The following is a 22,462-nucleotide window of genomic DNA, read 5'->3' as shown; positions in this document are numbered from 1 at the left end:
TTAATAAATAAGGATTATGTCTAGTCCATGCTTTTTTCTAGAATGTGATTGGGCTTCTAAAGGCTTTCCTGTTGTGCAATATGAACAATAAATGTCCAAGGTGTTAATAAAGTAAGAAATTAATAGTCTAAACACTAGCCTTGAAGATGCTTTGCAAAAAACAAAAGGGTCTCTTAGGTGAAAGTTCCAGGAAGCCTCCTGTATTAACTCTCTTCTAGAAGATTCATGATGTGCATTAGAATATTAAAGGCTGAGAAGTTCTGCAATTTAAAAAAACTGTTTATATTTGTTTAACTTAGAGTTTCCCAAATTTGTTTGACCACAGAAATCTATGTTAACTACACTTTTCTTAATATTCATTGGAATGTTCTCTAAAACAATATTTTGAGAAATGCTAAAGTATTGTCAACAAGTTTGAGGGTTCCACCTTGGTGACCAAGAAAAGTACAAAGTGAATGTACATATAATTGAATATACTTCCTTCTCAGAGATTTCTCATTATATAGACAGCCTGCAGAATTCACAGGATTTCCTCTGCCTTACTCTCCATGCTTCTTTTTTTTTTTTTTTCTTTGAGATGGAGTCTTACTCTGATGCCCAGGCTGGAGTGCAGTGGTGCGATCTTGGCTCACTGCAAGCTTCACCTCCCTGGTTCACGCCATTCTCCTGCCTCAGCCTCCCGAGTAGTTGGGACTACAGGCGCCTGCCACCACGACTGGCTAATTTTTTGTATTTTTAGTAGAGGTGGGGTTTCACCATGTTTGCCAGGATGGTCTCGATCTCCTGACCGCGTGATCTGCCCACCTCGGCCTCCCAAAGTGCTGGGATTACAGGCATGAGCCACCATGCCCGGCCCATGCTTCATTTCTTTTGTGGCAGATGCAAAGTTTCTGCAGTGGATGCTGGAATGATTAGTGGGTGAGATTTCATAGCATTTCTGTCTACAAGTTTGAATCAGGAGAGAAACCTCTTTTATGTTAATTCATGATTACATTAATCCATAAATCATGAAACTGTGTGTGGCCTTATGACTAAGAGATTCTTCAAAATTAAACAAAAATGACCTTGGTTTAATCTTCAAAAGTTTTAGTTCTGAAGGACATATATCACCGCAGTGACGGCAAGCTGTGTGTGTCCCTGTGCTCTTCCTCAGGGCCAGGTAATAAAACCCTCTAGCCTCCTGGTGGCCATAACTGAGTCATTACACTATAGTTGTCCTGCAGTCCAGCTTTGATCATACCTCTCCTCTTTTGCTAAGAACAAAAGTCTTGACTGAATGACAAAAAAAGCATAGCACTGTTAGGTCTGCCTGGTTTCTTTCCTCTTCACTCAAAATGACCTCCTTTACCCATCACCTGACCCCATGTTTTCAAGTGGTGTTCTTGCTGCTAGCAGAACACCTCATCTTGTGATCTCTGCAGTATCTGTGCACGCTAACGCATCCTTTCATGATCCTGAGGACTGATAAACATGACATTTCATATTTCCTGCCTTCCTTTTAAAGAAAATAACTGGTGATGTGTGCATTATACAGAGACATGCACTAGCTTTTATGATCTTTGATTCTTTTTTTTTTTTTTTTTTTTTTGAGACGGAGTCTCGCTCTGTTGCCCAGGCTGGAGTGCAGTGGCAGGATCTCGGCTCACTGCAAGCTCCGCCTCCCGGGTTCATGCCATTCTCCTGCCTCAGCCTCCCAAGTAGCTGGGACTACAGGCGCCCGCCACTACGCCCGGCTAATTTTTTGTATTTTTAGTAGAGACGGGGTTTCACCGTTTTAGCCGGGATGGTCTCGATCTCCTGACCTCGTGATCCGCCCGCCTCGGCCTCCCAAAGTGCTGGGATTACAGGCGTGAGCCACCGCGCCCGGCCATGATCTTTGATTCTTAAGTGGCTATGAAGCAATGAAATGAGAATCATCTAGATAATCAGAAAACATATATTAGATCCATGTACAAAAAACTGTGGCTTTCCATGGAGCTGTTCTCTCCTGTCTTAGTCATCCTACGAGAAAATGCTAAGCAAGAGACCAGGCAGGCTGCATGGAGATGCAAGGCAGGCCATGCAGAACGGTTAGAATGGGACCCAACCAGGTGGGTGGGTATCAGAACCACAGGGCCTGCTTTCTATAATACGGAGCCCAAATGAGGCCTCTGCAATCTCAACCGAAAACCATCATATTTTTAAGGTGGCAATGCCAGGCTCTCTAGTTTGCTGTTGACATTTAGTAGTTCAAAATAAGTGCATAAACGTGGATCCATTCTAGTCACAAAGACATGGGCATAATCGGATGTGGCTTTAGCAGCAATTCTCAATCATAAAGGAAATAAGAAAGAGAAGTCTTCCCTGCTCCCCTCACCCATAGTGGAAGCCATTTGAACCATCTGGCCTCACTCCCCGGGATTCATAAGCTTTATAATTAAAATACCAGTAGTAAGTGTAATTCATTCATGTCTTAGGGGGTGCTCTGCCAATTTGTATGATTACCAATTCATTGAGCAGTGTGTTATCATCTAATTTAACATATTGAAGAACTATTTTTCTGGGGCTCATTTACCATTAAGCTGGTCATCCTACATCCTCTTGAATGAGATGGGAAGGAAATAGCATTAGCAGTGATTAGGGCCTGCATTTCCTCAAAGATGTGACAAGCTCTAAAATTTGGACACCTTGTTTACTTCATTTTAATGAGGTGTGTGTGTGTGTGTGTGTGTGTGTGTGTGTGTGTATTAAAATAACCTCATTTGTGTTTCAAATATAGTTTTCTACTCACATAGTGAAAGTTGAGATTGATTAGACCTGTGCTATCCAAAGCTAAGTGCCATTTAAGCTTATATTAAGTATAATACAATTATGTAAAATTTAAAATGTGGTTTTGTTACCCTAGCACATTTCAAGTGCTCAATAGCCACATGTGACTGGTGGCTACCATACTGGATAAGCACAGATATGGATCATTTCCTTCACCAAAAAAAGTTTTATTGAACAGTACTGTACAAAATGCTTAAAAAATGCTTATGATTTCAAGAACTTTTGTCACCTCAGCATTTTTTTATGTTTTAGATTTGTATAACTAACAGTATTTTTGTTTATTTGCTTTCAGACATTGCCCTGGGACCTATGGACGGTAAGCCACTAATAACTCTGTTTTTTCATGTATCTTGATCCCCAGAAATTTGGAAACCTTGTTATATTTTATTTCATTTGCAACAGAAAGAAGACACATACATTTAATGATGATATAGTCCCCTAGAATGATCATTAGGCCACTGAAAGTCTTGAGCATTATCAGAACCGGAAGATGATGGTGAAGGAAGAGTACAGTGGACCAGACTCCTGGGTGAATAATGGTCAATAATTTGAATAATGGTCAAGAGTTTGGCCCTTTGTTTCTTTCTGTGGTGGTTGGTGGCAAAAGGAGCTGTTGCAGTGAAGGACACACACACTTAAATAGAAGACAAGGAAAGTGTGAATGAGAAAATGGAAGAGATGGGCTACTTGGCACATGGTACCATTTTAAAAAAAAGTGATTGTATTCAATGAAGCTTGGGTTAATAAGAACTTGAGTTTTAGAGCCAGATAGCCCTGGATTTTAGTCCAAACTCTACTACTCATAACCTTGAGACTTTGAGCAATTACTTTTTTTTTTTTTTTTTTTTAAGACGGAGTCTCGCTGTTTCATTGAGTGCTGGAGTGCAATGGCACTGTCTCGGCTCACTGCAAGCTCCGCCTCCCGGGTTCACACCCTTCTCCTGCCTCAGCCTCCCAAGTAGCTGGGACTACAGGCACCCGCCACCGCGCCCAACTAATTTTTGTATTTTTAGTAGAGATGGGGTTTCACCGTGTTAGCCAGGATGGTCTCGATCTGCTGACCTTGTGATCTGCCCGCCTCGGCCTCCCAAAGTGCTGGGATTACAGGTGTGAGCCACTGCGGCCAGCCTGAGCAATTTCTAAAACTCTCTAAGCATCATTTTTTTCTCATTTATAAAATAAGGGTAATGATGCCTACCTCGGAAGGTTGTGTGAGGTTTAAATAAGATAATTGTAAAGTATGTAGCATGGTGTCTGGTGTGTATCAATAAAAGGTAGATGTTATTACTGATGTTTTTTCAGCTAATCTGATGTGTAAGGATAACTACTCCATAATTTAGACTTGGGAAAGTGTCACAAACAGAGCTTTGTGGTGGTCTCATTGGTGCTGTGAAATTAGGTGATTGGTCACACACCTCTACAGCCTCATATCCCTTGGAGCAGGGTCTTTGTTTTAGAAAAGCCCTGGTGATGTGGTCTTAAGAACTCAACTTAAGTTGTATGTTTTCTTCTTTTATTGTGAGGCAGAAAAAGGAAAGTTCGATAGATCTAGCTATTCATGGGCAATGCCACTTCTGAATTGACATTGCCACTTTCTTTCTCCCTTCAAAACAAAAAGATGTCTGTCCCTTCCTTCTGCAGTTGCAGGGCTCATACTGCACTCTTTAAGATCCTTGGAGCATCAAGGGAAGTGCTCAAGAAGAGAGATTAAAAATGTCTATTGAAACCACCAATGACTAAGTTATATCTTTTCTAGTGAAAAGTTTTACTCATATATTCACAAAAAGGCATGCATGGATTGATGTTCGAGTCATTTGAATTCTAACTTCAACTCTGTGTTAATTTCCTTGGAGATTAAAAAGACAATGCTATTTTTTGTTATTCCAATATTTTATATCTTTAGTGGAACTGTAACACATTTTCCTTCCCTCGCTGGGAGGGTATGGAGAGGGTGAAGGTATCGTCTAAAAAGAGCTTTTGAACGTTTCAGAGGACAAACTTGCTAGGAATGGTAGCGATATCAAAATGCAAAACAACAGCTTTCTGAACATAGTTGCTCACAGCTATTAATCTTCTCAACTTTGCAAGATTTTTTCATTATGTGGAGAAAATGGCTGCTAATTTGGGGGAATGACATCAAGAGAACTCTGCAGGCAGTCAGACTGGTTAATATCAGACCATTCTCCATCTAAACACCCATCTCAAAGACAGAGCCAAGTATAGGATGAGTTTGGGGAATATTTTCTTCTGATACTGTGTCAAAGTGTGTGCTACTGTGTAATTTCTTGACCTCTAGTGCTTGATCTTATTCCGATGTTCTCAAACTTGCTTATGTGTTTGAAACTTAGCATTTCAGAGTCTGCTAAAGCAGAAGTCATATACTAGCCATAAAACATCCTTGCTGATGCTAGAAAGTGAAAGAGGCTTTCTTTGTGTTTCATTTGTGCCTTTTCTATGGTGGTCTTAAACAATTTTGGAACAAAAATCATTCCTATCACAAAACAAGTTGTAAAATTTGTTCCTAAACCAGTAAAAGCTATAGCCTTCAGCAGAATGTTGACTCTAGACAGCATAGGATTTTATTGTGTTAGTGAATTTTCTCTCTCGCCTTATTGTTACTATTTTCTTTACCCATACAGACAAGCACTGATTTGGTACAGCCGGTAGGTAAATATCCAGATCATTCTGGATTTTTTTGGTATTTGATATGCATTACATACATAGTATATTTTCTAGAATGAACTGTTTCCCCATGGCATTGCTAGTCATAGATTTAAACCTTAAGCCAATGAATGTAATCACTTTCCAGTTTGGTTTTACTGGTGCTACTCGCCTGAAGAGCTTTGTGTTTCTCATCAAATCTTACCATGTTCTGTTTCATCTTTTGTTTTTGTTTTTTTTCCTTTGCTCTTCTGCATACTTTAAAGACTGACTCTTCAGAAAGTCTTTCCTTGTGTAACCTGATCATGGAGGAAACTCCAGACAGTGGGTTGGCCGAAGAAATTCAAAGATCTCAAAATGATATAGGTGCATTTACTTGGGGCCCTGACGCTAGTACAGACAGGGTCAGCCAAGAAGTTACCTCAGGTGGGTTTGGAGAAGACTCTGCATGTCCCTCCGAAACAGAGCAAGACATAAGATTATCCACCAGCCTGCTTTCGTCTGCTGACTGGCCCACTGTAGCTGAAGAGAGTGAGCATGCCCCGGGGCCAGCCTTTCCAGGTGGAAATGAACAACTGCCCCCAAAGCCTGCGCCGGAGGCTGGAGTTGCCATTGCTGCTTGTGTGGAGATGGAGCAGCTGTATGACCCACTTGACTCAGACATGCCAGCCATGGACACAGCTGGCCTGTTCAAAGAAAGTCATGAAGATATGAAGAAGTCAGATGAAGAGGAAGAGAAACAGAAGATGGAAGATTCTCTGTGGGCAGGTGTGGAGGCGTGTCAAAAGGTAGACACTGGAGCTATTGATATCAAGACACTAGAAGGTACAGAGGAATTTGAAGAGAAAGCATGTGAAAGGACAGGAAACAGAGTGGTAGAACTTCTTAATACCATAGGAAAGGAAGACCATAAGACCTTAAAAATTAATGAAGTGGAAACTAGAAAAGATCTAAGAGCAGGGTATAAGGAAAGTACAAACGCCAATGAAAATTATTTTGAGAAAACTGACCTATTAGAAAAGGACATGGAAGGAGGAGATATGGCAAAAGAACTTAGTGACAGAGACCAAGGTCTACATGATGGAATTCAAAAGGTAATCAATAATTGTGGAATGATAGAAGGCTTTGGAGCCAAACCTGCCAATCACCCAGATATCTTGAATCCATCTCTCCAGACCTACTCTGTATCTAATATTGAAGATGGCAGCCCTGAGGGATGGGATTTGACTAGAAAAGACATAAAGAAAAATGCAATAGACACTCCCAACCATGATATGATATTTTACCCAGCACAAGACAGTACAGATGCTGAAGAAATTCAGTGTGAGACTGTGTTAAATGCTCTTGTAGGTGACAGGGATAAAAATCAGGCTGTTTTATCAATAAAACTTGAAGTAGAAGCTCAGTCTAGGACTGACCTTAATTATTCTCTGGGAAGAGATGCAAACAGAAGAGATTTATGTTCATGTAAGGCAGAAAGTTCACTAATAGAAGGGTCTGAAAGAACAGTAACTGAGAACCGTAGTCATACTGTTAACTTGCCAAGAATTGCAGAGATAGACTCTTGGGGAACAGATCCAGGTCAAATCTGGCAGCCAAGCTTGGATTCAGCAATGAATAATTTGGATATAACAGGATTCTCTGGTATACCAGATGGCCAAGCAAGTGGATTTGCCAGTTGTCTGGATTCTATTAACCACTGGCCTATCAGAGATACAGAAGGCTTAGATAATAGCTGGACACATTCAGATGTAGTTGAGCACAAGGAAGAACTGAAGGTGGACTTACTAGCAGGTGATTGTAGGGAACAAGCCATTGCTAGCTGCTGGGAACAAAGCCAGGAGATAGCAAGACCATTGATTTTGGGGACCTCCTGGAATGCTAGCACTGAGAGTTCTGCTAGTTCCCGAGACCAGGACATCAACAACTCAGATTTATCTGAAGATGAAATTGCTAACCAGAGATATGGATTGTTGTACCAAGAAATAGAGGCTGACAAAGACGAGGTACTTACCCTGGTCTGTAGCATAGACTAGCCAAAGACTTCTGTAGGCTCTGTTTTTCCTCATGTCTGTCACCTACTTCATTATCCATCACTATCTTCTAGGAGGCCTGATCTCTCTAACAGATTGTCATGTACTTCTTGAAATCTGTGCAAACCAAACACAAATAGGTTGACCAAAAAAAAAAAAAAGCAGCAGCATCAACAACAACAACAAAAAGAACCCAACAACATAGACACATACACACAAAGCGGAATGATTGTGTTGGGAATTAATGACAGTCTATGTTACCATCTCATTTTCTGAGTTTATTCTCCCTACTTTCACTTTTACTATGCAGGTACTAAAAATGTGCTAAACCAAGAGCAGCACAGACTAATTTACTGTTCCTGAAGTGGTTCCACTCCAAAAAGAACACACGAAATGTTTCAACCCAGGCCCACTGAAACTGTAAAATATCATAATTGCTGTTCATCAAAATGATGCATTGTAGAAACACTGGAGAAGTTTCTTCTAGATTCTATCAATGGCCTGAAAAACAAGCAATTTAACTCCTAATGGCCCTTTTCTGGAATCATCTTCTCATTATAGAGAAAGTGGGTTTTGGTTGGCACCAAGCAATAATGCAGCAGCAATAATTGTAAAATTAACCTTTCTTTTTTTTTTTGTCAGCCTATTTAAAATCATACAGTGTGGCCTTTGCATTTCCTAAGTTCTTTCATGCACAGCAACCTTTTGTATTATTTTAAAACTTGTGATAGTCTTTACTTTCCAACTTGTCTAATGGATATTTACTGGTCCTACAAAATGATAATGAAAAATAATAACACAATCTGATTTTCGTTTCTGTTTAGGCTTCTGGTGGTTCATTTAATGGATTCACACAGGTAAGGAATCTGTTTTCTTACAAGATCCATCTGCTGAGAATGATGCACATTTTTTTCAATGTGGTTTGGTTCTCTGTGCCACTAGTATAGCGTAATGATTAAGAATATCAGCACAAAATTGGACCCCACTACTTACAGACTGAGTAATGGAAACAGAATAGTAGCAACATTGTATGATTATTGTGAAGATTAAATGAGCTATGCAACAGAGTGTTTAGCCCAGCAGGCTAGCACACACTAAGTTCTCCCTGACTTTAGTTTAGCTTTTATTAATATGATTAGCTATACCATGGGCTTCTACCTTCTACCGATTCCTCTACTAGAAATTAGAAGTTGTTCTGATCTGAGAGATCCACTGGATTCAGCTGTTCTAAAGAAGAGCTAGGATTGTTTTGAACTAATGAGATGGATCTTTAGAAAATGTGAGAGGGTTTTAGGAGCTTCCTTCTAGAGATTCCTATAGGAGCCACACTGCACAGAGCCTTACCTCTTCAGCAGTTCTCCAGGAAGGAGCTGTTGGAAGATCAGAAACCATAGGCTGGTTGTGTCCAATAAGGCAGTATTTTTCTTGAGAGTCTGTGAAAGAGAAACCACAAGATGAACTGTCCCATTAGGACAGTGTATGTGTATGTCCCAACAGGTAGGCAGGTGTAACCTGTGTAAAAGGCCGGCCACATGGCTCTCAGGCTCCTGGATCAGTTCTGACAACCTCTTCAATGGAGACCTCAGACAGGCTTGTCTGTGATGCCTGCTTTGTCTCAGAATGTCAGACATGCACAGTTTCTAATAATTTAGCATTTATAATTCTCTAAATATATATTCATAATATATTCATAAATAGAATTCTGTATTTAAAGGTTTCATTATTTTCCCATGTTACCTGTAAAAAGATAAAAACCCACTGATATTCCCACATCCAAATACAGATACACACAAATACAAAGAGACGTTAATGCATCTCTTCCATCTTCAGAAAATTCCTTTGAAAGGTTATGATAGGCTCTGTCATCAATTTCTCATTCTTTTCAGGTTTGTATTTCCATCAGAGTTATTAATGCACATAATTTTAAAAGTAACAACTTTTATAAGGGCTTTTATTTTAAAACTTCAGACCACCATACACTCCCTTCATTTCCTGTTTCTTAGAGGTAAATAGTTTCACTTCCTTCAACAAATTCTCTGTTTCCGCCCTATATGTGTGCATGGGTTTCTTATAATGCTGCTTCTTGATTTCTAAAGTATTATCTATTGACTCATCTCTCTGGAAGGTGAAGACTTAAAGTATTTTCCACCTCCTACCCACCCAATTCGCCCCCTCTTCTGCTTCCTGCCCTTCCTCTGATAGAGTTCCATCAAAGCCATCCAGGCAATCTGTGGTAATGTAATAGTGATGAAAATGCTATTAACAGCCAAGTCATGAATTTCACATTTTGTTTCATGCCAACTTTTTGTTTTCCTTTGTGGTAATTATAAAAAAATTGTGGGTCTAATTTATTTGCCTTTTGATTGATATGCTTAGTTTTCTAGGTACTTATCACATATTCAACCCCATACTCTATAGTTATACAAATCTCCTATTTTGCTGAAAACACTAGACATTCAATCAGTTTCATCTTCTTGAAGAAATTGCCTATCTGTCCTCCTCTCCTGGGCTGCTGTGGGCTGAACTGGGTACTCTATGACTGTGACTTGCTGTAGAGCTGTTCTCACTGGCTCTTCCATCCTGTTGGTCATGGGGACTGCCTTCACCTCTCTTTCCTGTCCTTCCACTGTTTTCTGATGCAAGTTTTCTCATTTGTGGTTTAATCATTCATTTGGGTGGAGCACAACCTCCAGTAGCTTTCTGAAAAAAGTGCATACACAGAAGGTGTATATTTGTGACGTTACACATCTGAACATGTCCTACATATATATTAATATACTGGACTGCTAGTTTGGGTATTATATTCGAAGCTGTAAATCATTTTCCCTTATAATTTTACAGCCATCGCTCCACTCAATCCTACCACCTAGTGTTGCCTTCAAGAAACTGTCATTTTGATTCTTGATATTTTGTAAGAAACCTGCTTCCTCTCCTCATTCTTTCTCTCTATCTCCCTCCTCCTACCTCTTTCATCTTCCTTTTCTCTCTTTCTCTCTGGAACTTTGTAGCATCTTCTTTTTACTTCAGTGTTTCTGAAATGTTTCAATGATGGGCTATGGTCTGAGTCTCTTTTCATCCACTGTATAAGCCTTTTTAATCTCAAAATTTATGGGTTTTGGTTTGGGAGAATTTTAAAAAAATATTTCATGGCTTTATCTTTTTTTTTCCTTTGTTCTCTCATTCCATAACACTTCTCTTTTTCATATTTTAACTTCCTGACTAGTATTCTATTATTGTTTCTTTGCTGTTTCCTTTTCTCTGTTGTCTTTCTCTACTTTCTCTGCCAACTATTCTAACAGGTTTTTCACCCTATAATTTTTTCAATTTCCAATAACTCTTTTTGTTTACTGCATATTTATTTTCCAATAGCATCTTCTTCTTGTGTCATGAATGATTCTCTTCCATTATATCTCTGAAGGTATTAATAATCATTTTGAATTATTTTTGCAAAATCTTTGTTTCTTCCTCTTGCTTAACCCTTTCTATTCCATCTCTCTTTTATATTTGAGACTTCTCAAATGTTTGGTGATCTTGACTGAATATTCATATTTAAAAGTGGGATGCTGAAAAGCTGACTGGAACCTTGTACAGGTAGATAGAGTTCATTGACTGTGGGCATTGTTGCAGGACTTTCTGGCTTATCTTTTCTGTTGGGGAGCCACTGAAGTCAGATTCTTTAGGCATTTTTTTTCCTTTGGGCTGGCCAGATTTCCCAGGGAAGATTTATTTTGTCTCCTGTCTGTGAAGTTCAAGTCTGACTACTAGTGTAATGGAGGTGATTGGGGAAAAAATGGGAGCAGAGTGGCGAGAGAGGGGTGCATGGTCTCAATATTTATTATGTAAGTACTCAGTGCTTCTACCTTCCTGATGTGCCTGTGTGTTCCCCAGTCCAGGGACCCTGTTTCAGCCTCTATATAATTAATCTCAAGTCTTCTGCTAGGGTAGGCAAGGATGTTGCTTGGTGTTCTTAGTAGGTAAGAATATCTTGAGGTCTGATGACTTTGTAATAGACTTTTACTATTCTTCTGTTGTTACCACCACCCTCACTCCTGTTTCCTGTGGCTCTTTATGCTTCTAATTTTTCACCACTGGGAGTTCTAAGGAACAAATCGGACTGATTTGCAGCATTTCTAGCATCACCTTAGGATACAGATTTCTTTGATCTACCAAGTTACTACTCTTTCATCTGCTTTCCAATTTCAACATTTTGTTGTTTCTATCTTTCTTCTCATTCTTTTCATTCTTATAGGTTGATGCCTTAAAAATCCCTTTATTGTTGTTTAGTTTGGATTCAGGAGGTAACAGAGGCAACTGCATGTGTTCAAAACACCATCTTCAACCAAAAGGCACTGGCTCATCTTTTCCGTTAGGCATCCCCTGATGTCAATTTCTTCAGGCATTTTGTTTTTTTCCTTGAGCTGGCAGATTTCCCAGGAAAGACACCTGGGTCTCCTGTTTGGAGGGTGCAAGCCTGGCTACCAATGTAATGAGAGATGAAGTTTCCTTTAGAGATTACTTTTCCTTTAGATTTCCTCCAGCTTGATTTGTTTAGGTCAATGAACATATTTTATGAAATGTTAACATATGGTTCATACATAACCCATAGAAGGAACACTTAAGTAATATAGTGAGATTGAATTCACAACATTTAAAAAGTTTAAATTTTGGAGCTTCAACCACTAACTTCTGATTTGATATCAACGGCCAGAAGAGAAGCTGTGGACTAAAGATGCCCCTGAAGCCAGTGGCCTCTGTTTAATGACTCTCATAGTATTCTGCTAGCAGAGACTTATATTTAGAATAACTATTATTAAAACTTACTTTTGCATGTTTTGACTTAATGATTTAAAATAAAAGGGGACTTGAACATGTTTCAAATAATATTTATTGAGGCCAGGCATGGTGGCTCCCACCTGTAATCCTAGCACTCTGGGAGGCCAAGCTCGGCAGTTTGCTTGAGCCCAGAAATTCGAGACCAGCTTGGGCAACATGATGAAACGCTGTCTATACAAAAAAATGCAAAAATTAGCCAGGCGTGGTGATGTGCGCCTGTACTTCTAGCTACTCAGGAGGCTGAGGTAGATCGCCTGAGCCCAGGGAGGTGGAGAATGCGGTGAGCATGATCATACCACTATACTCCAGCCTGGGGAACAGAGGAGACCCTTTCTCAAAAAAAAATTAGATAGATAGAGTGTCGATAGATAGATGGATAGATAGATAGATAGATAGATAGATAGATAGATAGATAGATAGATACGTAGGCAGACACAATTGATGGTAGCTGATTTAAATATCTTTAAAAAACATCTTCTATTTTTATCCTTGATTTTCAGCCCCAGGATACTTCATTATTCACAATGCAGACAGACCAGAGTATGATCTGCAACTTGGTAAGTTGATTTGGGTTTGTGCTCTCAGGAAGTTGTTAGTTATCACTGAATGTTCTAAAGCTGATCATTCTAGGCTGTCTAGAGTTTGAATATCCAGAATGTGGTTTCTGGATCCTGTACTTTTCTAGAAAACAGGAGAGAATGTGTCTGTAAAACCTCAGTGTGACTTTGCATTTGGTTATTTCTATTCACACAGGCACAGTGATTCCAGCAAAAACTAGTCTCCTAATGATGAACCCCAGCAGAACACAGTGAATCCATTAAAGACATGTATATTTCCATGTGAATATAACTTAAGTTCCAGTATTTAAAGTGAAATTGTCTCAAGAATTCATGCTTCAAAATAAATCCTTGTTTGTTTCTTGAACGTGAAACTACCCCATTTATCATCTCATCCCTCCACTTTGTGAGAGGTAGAAAGCAGTAATGCATAGTAGAGTTGTGATTCCTAATTTGATACCAAATGAGAAGAGAGAGAAAAGCTTAGTTAGGGGATGAGTAAGAAATAGAAATAGTTACTCCTGGCGTTAGAGAAGATTCTTAAAAGATCAGTGTTGCAGTTATGATGGGAAACATTTTTAGCAACAGCTTAAAGCTTACTAGTAAAGATGAATGAAGAGACCTTAAGAGATATCACTTTTGAGCATGTCATTGCTACACTTCAGAGGATTTGGGCTCTTTGAGGACTAGTTCATGAGGGTTATTTGTAGCACTATGGTTTTCTCATGGGAATAGTGCATACTTATCCTAGCTCCTGCCTTTCATATTGGATGCTTGGAATTGAGATTAAATAGAATGATTTCTTTTAAACTATTTTAAGTAAGGAATTCTCTTCTGGAAAGTTTGTCTTCAAGGCTGGTTTGATATATTTGCAAAGACAGGTGTGTCTCTCATACCTTGTCAATAGATTGTCACACTTTTGCCTTTTGGGCAACCAGCTGAAAGGCAGAGTCTCTCTGGCCTGCAAATAAATATTTAAATGTTTCAAATACAAATTATACTTGTGTTAGTAATGGAGCCAGTGAAGCTCATTCTTCATGTTCATTGGTGATTCTCCAGCTGAGTGATGAAGATGGAGAACGGAATTTTTAATTATCAATCATGAATGGTTTATGAGAAATGGAGAAATACCAGTATAAAAGGAAAGGCAATTGGTTATAATTAAACTCACACCTACTACACGGATGCAAAAGATTCAGGTCTAGAATTCAGTGGTTTTTAAGTTTCAGTGAACCTTTCCCTGTCATCCATGGCTGGTCCTAGGAGCTTCCATGCTTGTCTTTCTCTTCTGTTTGTATGTATTCTCTGAAGCAGACATCTTGCCCCTTCTTTCCATGGGGAACTTAGCTTTGTCATGTTCAGCATTGCAAATGCTGCTAACCTTGGTCCTGCCCTCTGATCTAGGAAATCACAGTGAACTGATGTCTCCCAGTGAGTCGTGATTGTACACGATCTTCCCAGGAGCAAGAAAACGCCCCAGTGTTTGGCTCATTGACTATTCTGAGCGAGGTAGGGGGTGAAGTTGGTAATCAGCTGTACATCTCCCAGCCTGCATCATACAGCCCCGCAGGACATCTTTTGAGTACAGGTTTAAACCCTTTTGAATCAGTAACTCTTGCTCGGGGCTCAGGGTTGCCTCTAAAGCCCTTTGGAGTTCTCACTAAATTAGTTCTCTCAGGATTGGAGAAACTGGATACAAGGCCACATTGGATGTGACTAGACTTCTGCCCCTGCTGTCCCAACCCATCTCCTCTTCCTCTGTATTGACCCGCCTTTCATCTTATCACAAAGGATACCAGAAAAGGTGCTGCAAGGCTACACTCCTCATTTTATTCTAAAGGAATAATTGGTTTATGGTCCTCAGAGTTAAACCATTGTGGCATCTGCTGCCACCAATATCTGTAAAGGATGTACCTCTTCTCTGAGTGTGTAATGACTGCTACTGAAGCAAACAATAGGAAATCATTCTCAGCACTCCAAAATAGGTGTGGCATGGGATCAACCCATTTGCAATGTCTTTCAAGGGAGGCATCTTGTAGGAAAAACAGTGAAGGTAGGGCACAATTCCCACAGGACTATATTAAATCTCTCCACAAGCGGTTGCTCACATTTTATCTTTGCTTTTCCCTCTTTCTTGACAAAATACTTAGAATTTTACATTATCTTGGAATAGAAAGGTGGCCTCTATTTCTAAATTTGGGTAGCTGATTTTATATATAACCATGCTTCATTGTTACTCATCATTTAGTGAGCTATACTATCCTCCTGGAATTTAGGTTAAGTTGTAATGCCATATTGTAAAATTTCATGTGTTATTGTCGTATGTGAAACATCTTGTGACTTGTGGGGAACATAAGCAATCCTATGTTCTCTTTATACTAGACCACAGCTGCACTGTCAAATTTCAACAAGCAAATGCAATTGGGCTCATTTATAAAATCACCCTAGCTATTTATTCTTGCCTTATAAAAAATGTCAGAATTTCTTCAGACTTCTAAGAAACCCAGACTCTGGTGCAAATATTTTTTGCATTTTAAGATATCTTTGCATTTTATAAAATATATGATGTTATATTTCTTTGGCTCATGTTTTAAAACATCTCTTGGCTTCTCATCTGGCTTCGATCTTACTTCTTCCATAGAGTAGACTCAGTTTGCAGTGAACAGCATCTGCTCGTGGATTTCTTGGTGTTTTCTCAAATTACCCTTTTATCCTTCATTGTGAAGGTCATTTGATACCAGGCTGTCATAGCAAATCACCTTGACTTCCCAAATGGTAAGATCATTCCCTGAGCACTTACAGTATCTATTTGCTGTTATGAAAACTTGTTCCACTATGAAGATAATTCTTTTCAAACAATAAAAGTGAAGTATTTTTCCATAAAGGACTCTTGAGAGCATATTAGTGTGAATTTTATCTCATTCTTCCTTAAAAATTATGTCAGGCCACCTCTTAAAGCTGAAAAAAGCCCATAAAAATCAAATGTCTGCACACTTGTCTACCAGTCCCTTGAATTTATTATGTCCTTTTGAAAAGAATAGTCGTGTGATCCTGGCATGCATAAAAATGGAATGATTTGGTGGGAAACATAAGACAAATACTTTGTGTATTTGTCCAACACTAGGCTATTCATATTCATTTTGTATTATCTCAGCATAACTTTTCCAGCACTTCTCTGTGGAACTTGCCATGTGCACTGACTCAGATAAATGTACAGGACAAATAGAGGTGTGTTTTGATTGCTTATGGTGAGTTGGATAGAAGTTACTGATTTCTCCAATCACAGCATTAATTAGAGACTTCTTACTCCACTGGGAAATCACTTTTAAACTTTTTTTAGTTTAAGTGTTCTGGTGATAGAAAAGGATCTTATGAGCCCTCTAATGGCCATTCATTTAGTGAAAGAATCATACTAGATAAATATGTTTATTTATATTAATAAGAATGGAAAAAGAAGGAATATTTTCAGTATTTGTAGTAACATGCATTGGCTGTGGTGCTTTTAATGGCTTGCTGTTAGTTTATATTGCTAATTTTAAAACTAAAAAGGCCTTGATCTAAGAGATGCCAGAAGCCTGATTCAGCATATATGTAATTGAAATCAGGATGATGTTTATATGTCTTGTTGGGACAAAAAGACCTCACCCTGCCTACACAATTCAGGGGGTATAATTGAAACCATGGAGAATACTGCCCTGTGGTTCTTTAAACAACTATTATATGAAATAAATGCATTACTAAGGATTTTGTTGGAGGGAGAAAGGGAAAAAGGGACTGAACAGGAATTTACAACAAGGCAGTAAAGTATCTATGATTGTAGTAGCAAATAGCCAGGTAGCTGATTCTGTTCTTCCCAGCCTTGGAAGTGGAACACTAGCTTCATGGTGACCTGTTGGGTCAAATGAATGCATTTTAGTCTGACTATTAGAATGACTCTTTGATTTTTTTGGTGCAATGCATATTCATAAAACTGAAAGGCCCTGGAACTGTGTGCCCTGCGATTTCTTCCTTACTCCTTCCCACTGGCAAGTAATTGTGGGTCCTCCTAGAATCCTTTCTCTCTGTCTCTGCCTCCGTCTCTGTCTCTATCTCTGTCTCTCTCTCTCTCTCTGTCTCTGTCTCTCTCTCTCTGGAAAATAGCAGAACCTCTTATAGCTATCATAGGTAAGTGGGTAGTCAAAATGTTGCAAGTAAGTAAAATGGGTAGGTAAAATGGTAAGTCTTGCCTGACTTCAAGGGAAATGACAGTCTTGATGATGGTAAAGCAGAAGCTTAATAAGATTTTATTTCTAGTCTTTTCCATTCTCTAAAAGCCTATGATGGCAAATGGGGGCTTTTCTCCAGCACGGATTTCATGAAGCTAGTTGCCTATGGGATGACAAAGAAAATCTTAATTGTCCAGTATTCTGTAATGTTATCTATTTACCTGTTGAATCTTTTTCCTCTAACCCTCAAAACAAACACTCCAAGGCTGAATCTGAACAGGCTCCACCCACAGAGCCAAAAGCAGAGGAGCCTCTGGCTGCTGTCACACCTGCCGTTGGTCTGGACCTTGGAATGGACACTCGGGCTGAGGAGCCAGTGGAGGAGGCAGTGGTGAGCACCACCTCCCTCTCACCCTCCATCTGCCTCGCTGCCACAGCCATGCTCATCTCATGACCATATGCATCGCTCTCATCTTTGCCTCACTTGGGCCAAACATGCTCCATATCTGTCGTAGCTCCCAGGTTCAAATAGCCTTCATGCCTGTTCTCTTTCATTTTTTATTAAGGAAGATATCCAGATAACTGATCTTATGATCTAAAGAAAACTGTACATAGCCACAGGTATAGCACAGTAGAAGGGTTGTAGAACTTGCGAGTAATCAGACCTGTTAATGCTTTGTTCTACCTGTGACAGCTGGAGACGTGCCTTTATTAGGGAACTTGCATGTGATAAACAGAATAATAACTTTGTTCATTGTGTGTACATATTGATTACTTACAATATTAGTTTCATAGGTTGGTTAAGGTCCAATGAGGTGTTGAAATCCCATATCACAACTCCATGAATCTGTAAGGATTCCTATATGCACCACCATTTGCTCACAATTAAGTCTGCTGATGACTCATAATAATACGGACCTTGAGGATGTTTTGTTTTTGTGCTGGGATGGGGATCCATTTGTCTGCCTGGAAACCTGCTCTTACCCTAATCCATGCAGCCATAAAGAACACCACATTGCAAACTGGGCTGAGCTCTGATATGTACCAAGTAGAATTGGACATTGTAATACCCATGAAAGTGTAGAGTACCAAATACCCATGGCGAGTGAAAAGTCATTTATTTATGAAATGCAGAAAAATGTCTTCCAACAATTTCAATCAGGGTACCATTTACCCTTCATAGACTGTACAAATAGGAAAAACAATTTCTCTATTACCAAAAATAACATTCCCTAGATTAGATACCTAGAGAAATGAGTCTTACTTCATGTCGTTGGTGCCTTAAGTCATTTTACAGGGAAAATGGTAGGTCATCTGTCACATCAACAGTTCATTAATCAAGTAGAAAAATAAATAATAGTGCAAGATAGTAATGGAAAATACTTAAAGCTGGACTGAATCTCTCCTAGAGGCATTGCTTGCAGGGACTTTAGACCAGGGAGTGCTGTGTCCAGGGCCACTCCCAGATTCACTGGAGATTTCAGCAAGTCCATGCAGACAGTGCTTTTTCACTTGGTGTCCAATGGTGATCTGTCTACTCACCTTAGCTTTAAGATTATTTAAATAACAAAGGAAGGGAAAAATGGAGTTTAATTTTTCGTTACTATTATAATTAAGAAGATAATTTATTTTTAAAGGAATGTGGATGATGCCAGGGAGTTAAAAAGATATTGATTTAGGTTTTGAGGGAAATTGTTTTGATTCTGAAAAAGCTCTCATCAAATCCCTATTTTGAACAGCAGCACCAACTTCATCTTCACCAATGTTTTAAAACTAGTTCATTGATTTTATGCCCAAGACTATTCAGTGTAAGGCTTAATGCCATCATGCCCATGAGCAGGGGCAGCATTGGATGTTGTGCAATAGATTGGAAATGTGGAATAGACAAGCTACTGTGTTCAATACGGCTGAATGTTGATTCTCTATGATCCCTTCTAAGAGTGTCATGTTCATATACCTCCCACACCCATCCTCATTTCAACAAACCGATCTAAGTAGGCTTTTGTTTTTTTCAGAATCCAGGTTTATGGTTTTCCAGTGGACAATATTAGTGGCCACCAATTATTAAGTACCTACTATGTAATAGCTAATATATATATATATATATATATATTCATATGTTTGATCATTGTTTAAACTAAGGGTAATATGAAAAATATTCAACACCCTGTGGCACAGGCACCAACCATCACTCAAACCAGCTTCCCTCATGTTGGGTAAGCAGCTGTTTGGAAGAATGCTTCATTCTGAAAATACCTTTTCTCCTGAAGCTCACAGGTGAACTGTAGAGAATCAAAAATTTTGATTCCTTGTAAAATATAAGGCAATTTACAGTCTAATGAAGGATTCAGGCACTTCCTGAGATCCATAGGTGATGCAAGAATCATAGGTGCAGAGCTCACAGTGTGATCCACGCTTTCCACAGAGAAAAAATTCAAGTTCATTTCTCCATATGGACTGAAAAATAATAGTAACAATGTTAACTAAGAGGAGACAGTTTACAGCAATTTAGTTTGCCTAATGGTCATCAGTAGTGGCTGCCTTCCATGTTTTTAACATGGACATACTTGGATGAAATCAATTTTTCCCCTCGTTCTCCCTTCTCCTTAGGAAAATAGAATCAGATAAAATGTATTTTTGTTTCCTAAAGTAGATTTATAGCTTCTTCCTTCCGGTCATAATAATCTAACATAATATTAGGGTTATATTTCTCTGGAGAAAGGTCTATTAGGTTGCTAGATACGTGGTATTTAGTTGTAAAAACAAAAATCCACATTGTGTCCCTAGCATTAATTAATTGGCTGGCTGTGGTTGTCGTCAGTCAGCGTTGAGTTGACATGACCTTTTGAGGTAATCCCTTTCACTACTGAAATGTCACCATAATTATTAGTTCAAGTTTTGACAGAATGCATTTCACCTGAGATGAAGTTTGTGATTGTTCTGGTTTTTTTTGTTTGTTTGGTTTTTGTTTTGTTTTTGTAAAGAGGCACGTATAATTTCAAACATGGGAAATTTTAACGGTGTTTCCAAAAGAAACCTAGGGCTTTTAAGAAAAGTTTAATTATTACATTTTTGTTTGTTGTTTTATTTCTCATATAGGTAGTATTGTCTTCAGTTTTTCCCAACAACATCAAATTTTACTGGTATGTCTACAGGATGCATTTAAAAAAACAACACTCTTGTCTTTACTTTTCCAGATGTTTCTATGTTATGTAAATAATGAAAATATTTGTTAGAAAAAAAATGATTTGGGGCCAGGTGTGGTGGCTCATGCCTGTAATCCCAGCACTTTGGGAGGGCAAGGCAGGCAAATCACATGAGGTCAGGAGTTCAAGACCAGCCTGGCCAACATGATGAAACCCCATCTCTACAAAAATACAAAAATTAGCCTGGCATGATGGCAGGTGCCTGTAATCCCAGCTACTTGGGAGGCTGAGGCAGGAGAATCACTTGAACCCAGAAGGCAGAGGTGCAGTGAGCTGAGATCTTAACCATTGCACTCCAACCAGGGCGACAGAGTGAGACTCTGTCTCAAAAAAAAAAAAATTCAATATGATTTCAATATTCGTTTCAATATGTGTTAGAGAATCAGGTTGTAAAGCAGGTAAAGATGAGCACAGAGCCAATTCATAATGTATTATTTGGTTACAATTAATTATGGTTAGATTTTTACCCACATTTATTCCATTTTTTTCTAAAGAGGCCCCTTCTAATTTTCTCTAAATTTCTGTCAGTGCCTGTATTTTGCTTAAATGATGTGAATTATACCAGTGTTCTTTTTTGCCTATTATTTTTTCAAAATAATGCCGTGTAATTAAATTTAGAGTTAGCATAGTTTTTAGAACATATAAATGTAAGGAAGACTGTGGTAAAGACGTTCTTAGAATTGTTGGGGAATCCTGGATTATGAAACATTATTGACCCATTATTCTGGGGACAACTTTGGTTTTTGCTGTGTTTTGTTTTTTAAAAATTTTACCACTAAACTTGTCAAGACCAATTTAAACCAACAAATATATACATATCAGAATTGCCAGACTATAGTCTATCAACTTCATCTTGCTAGAATATTTCTGTCTGAACAGAATGCATGTGCTCACTTCCTCTTTTACTCAGTTGACAGATATATTTGAGTCCTCTGTAGGTGTCAGGCTCTGTTCTGGATCTGGAGAATACAGAGATGTGGTAAATAGATATGGCTCCTGCCTCCTAGTTTCCACAGACTGGTGGTTGAGATGCACGTTACACAGAGGTTGAGGTGTCCTTCAGTGACACTCATGTTCACGGGAAACAGCATTTGGGTTTTATCCTTTTGCAGAGTAAACATGAGAGCTAGCGTTTCCCCTGTGCCTCTAGATGTGATCTCTCAGTATGTCAGAAGAAGACATTGAAGATCAGAGGAAGCCAGGAAGCTTGAATTATTGTCTGCCCTTATTAACATAGAATGATCTTCCAACTCCAAGGGCTTACACTGAAGCATGCTTTAAGATGTCAAGAAACATACATATGGATTTTTCTTTTTTTTATGAGAACCTTGGAGATGGATGTTCCTGTTTACCTTTCTTAGAAAAAAAAATCACAGAATTGGTTATTTTCTGAGTTTGATTGTATTCCCATTAGCAAATAGTTACATTTTCAATGCCCCTCAAACTAAATAAGTGTCTGTTTCTCTCTTGTTCATGATACCAAGCACACAGCAGAGTGCATAATCCATGCCCATCAAATTCTAAGTCATTGATTTGTTAGTTAGTTGACAGTGCAGTCTTGGGGTCCTTAAAGGGGCTGCAGTTTGATTTCTTAAAGTACAAATATGTATATGGTCATTTTCCTTCTCTTTTTTTTTTCATTCAGATACTTTGGCTTTTTTTATATTTAGGAAAAGCAAGCCAGTTATTATGATCAAAAGCAATGTCAGTTTTTTCATTCTGCCCCACAGCTCTGTGACACCTAAGCCCCACTTACCTCAAATATAAAATGGAGTTAATAATAATCACCTTAAAAGTTTCCCATGAGGGCTTAGAAATAAAACATGTTGTCAGTTTCAACATCTGTCGTGCAGAGGTTATTAGTTAATGACAGTTTGGTGATATCATTATTGTTATCATCGTCATGAAAAGTTGGTGAGAAGCAAATAAGCAGAAGCATGTGAAATATGTACTCTGGGGAGGAGAAAGCAGCAGAGGCAAAGATAACAGCCCCCTCTTCCAGTGTTGCCTCATGTCAGAAATGGCAATGGACCCAGTCCCTGTTAGATCTCCATCAACACAAATTTCCATGTGGTTCCCAAACAAGCTGTGTCCCATCAAAATTCTTTGTCCTTTCTAAGAAGACTTCCCCTTTTCCAGGCACCTTCATACTCAGTGAA

General features: G+C 38.9%; 1 protein-coding gene across 8 annotated transcripts in view, besides 1 other annotated feature; it reads left to right on the top strand.

Annotated features, from left to right (window-relative positions):
* Positions 1-22,462, top strand: part of AMPH (amphiphysin) — a 247,670-nt gene that overhangs the window by 196,061 nt on the left and 29,147 nt on the right. Inside the window, exons 13-17 of one of the 8 annotated variants that reach the window (XM_011515271.4) lie at positions 3,101-3,124; positions 5,736-6,257; positions 8,327-8,359; positions 12,836-12,892; positions 17,363-17,488. In XM_011515271.4, coding sequence (XP_011513573.1) covers positions 3,101-3,124; positions 5,736-6,257; positions 8,327-8,359; positions 12,836-12,892; positions 17,363-17,488 — 762 coding nt within the window. Of the gene's footprint in view, positions 1-3,100; positions 3,125-3,210; positions 3,631-5,447; positions 5,472-5,735; positions 7,476-8,326; positions 8,360-12,835; positions 12,893-17,362; positions 17,489-22,462 lie in introns of those variants that run through there. The other 7 variants (XM_017011995.3, NM_001635.4, XM_006715690.5 and 4 more) reach the window with 7 other exon arrangements.
* Positions 1,095-1,313: a silencer, noted in NCBI's record as "fragment chr7:38473600-38473818 (GRCh37/hg19 assembly coordinates)". NCBI's record gives its function as "represses an EF-1alpha promoter that drives an FKBP-Casp9 reporter gene in an ReSE screen in HepG2 liver carcinoma cells {active_cell/tissue: HepG2}" and the evidence as "EXISTENCE:reporter gene assay evidence [ECO:0000049][PMID:32094911]".

The sequence above is a fragment of the Homo sapiens genome, chromosome 7 (genome assembly GCF_000001405.40).
Source record: "Homo sapiens chromosome 7, GRCh38.p14 Primary Assembly".
NCBI lineage: Eukaryota > Metazoa > Chordata > Mammalia > Primates > Hominidae > Homo > Homo sapiens.
Note: the sequence above shows the minus strand (reverse complement) of the source record. Positions and strands in the feature narration are given on the sequence as shown.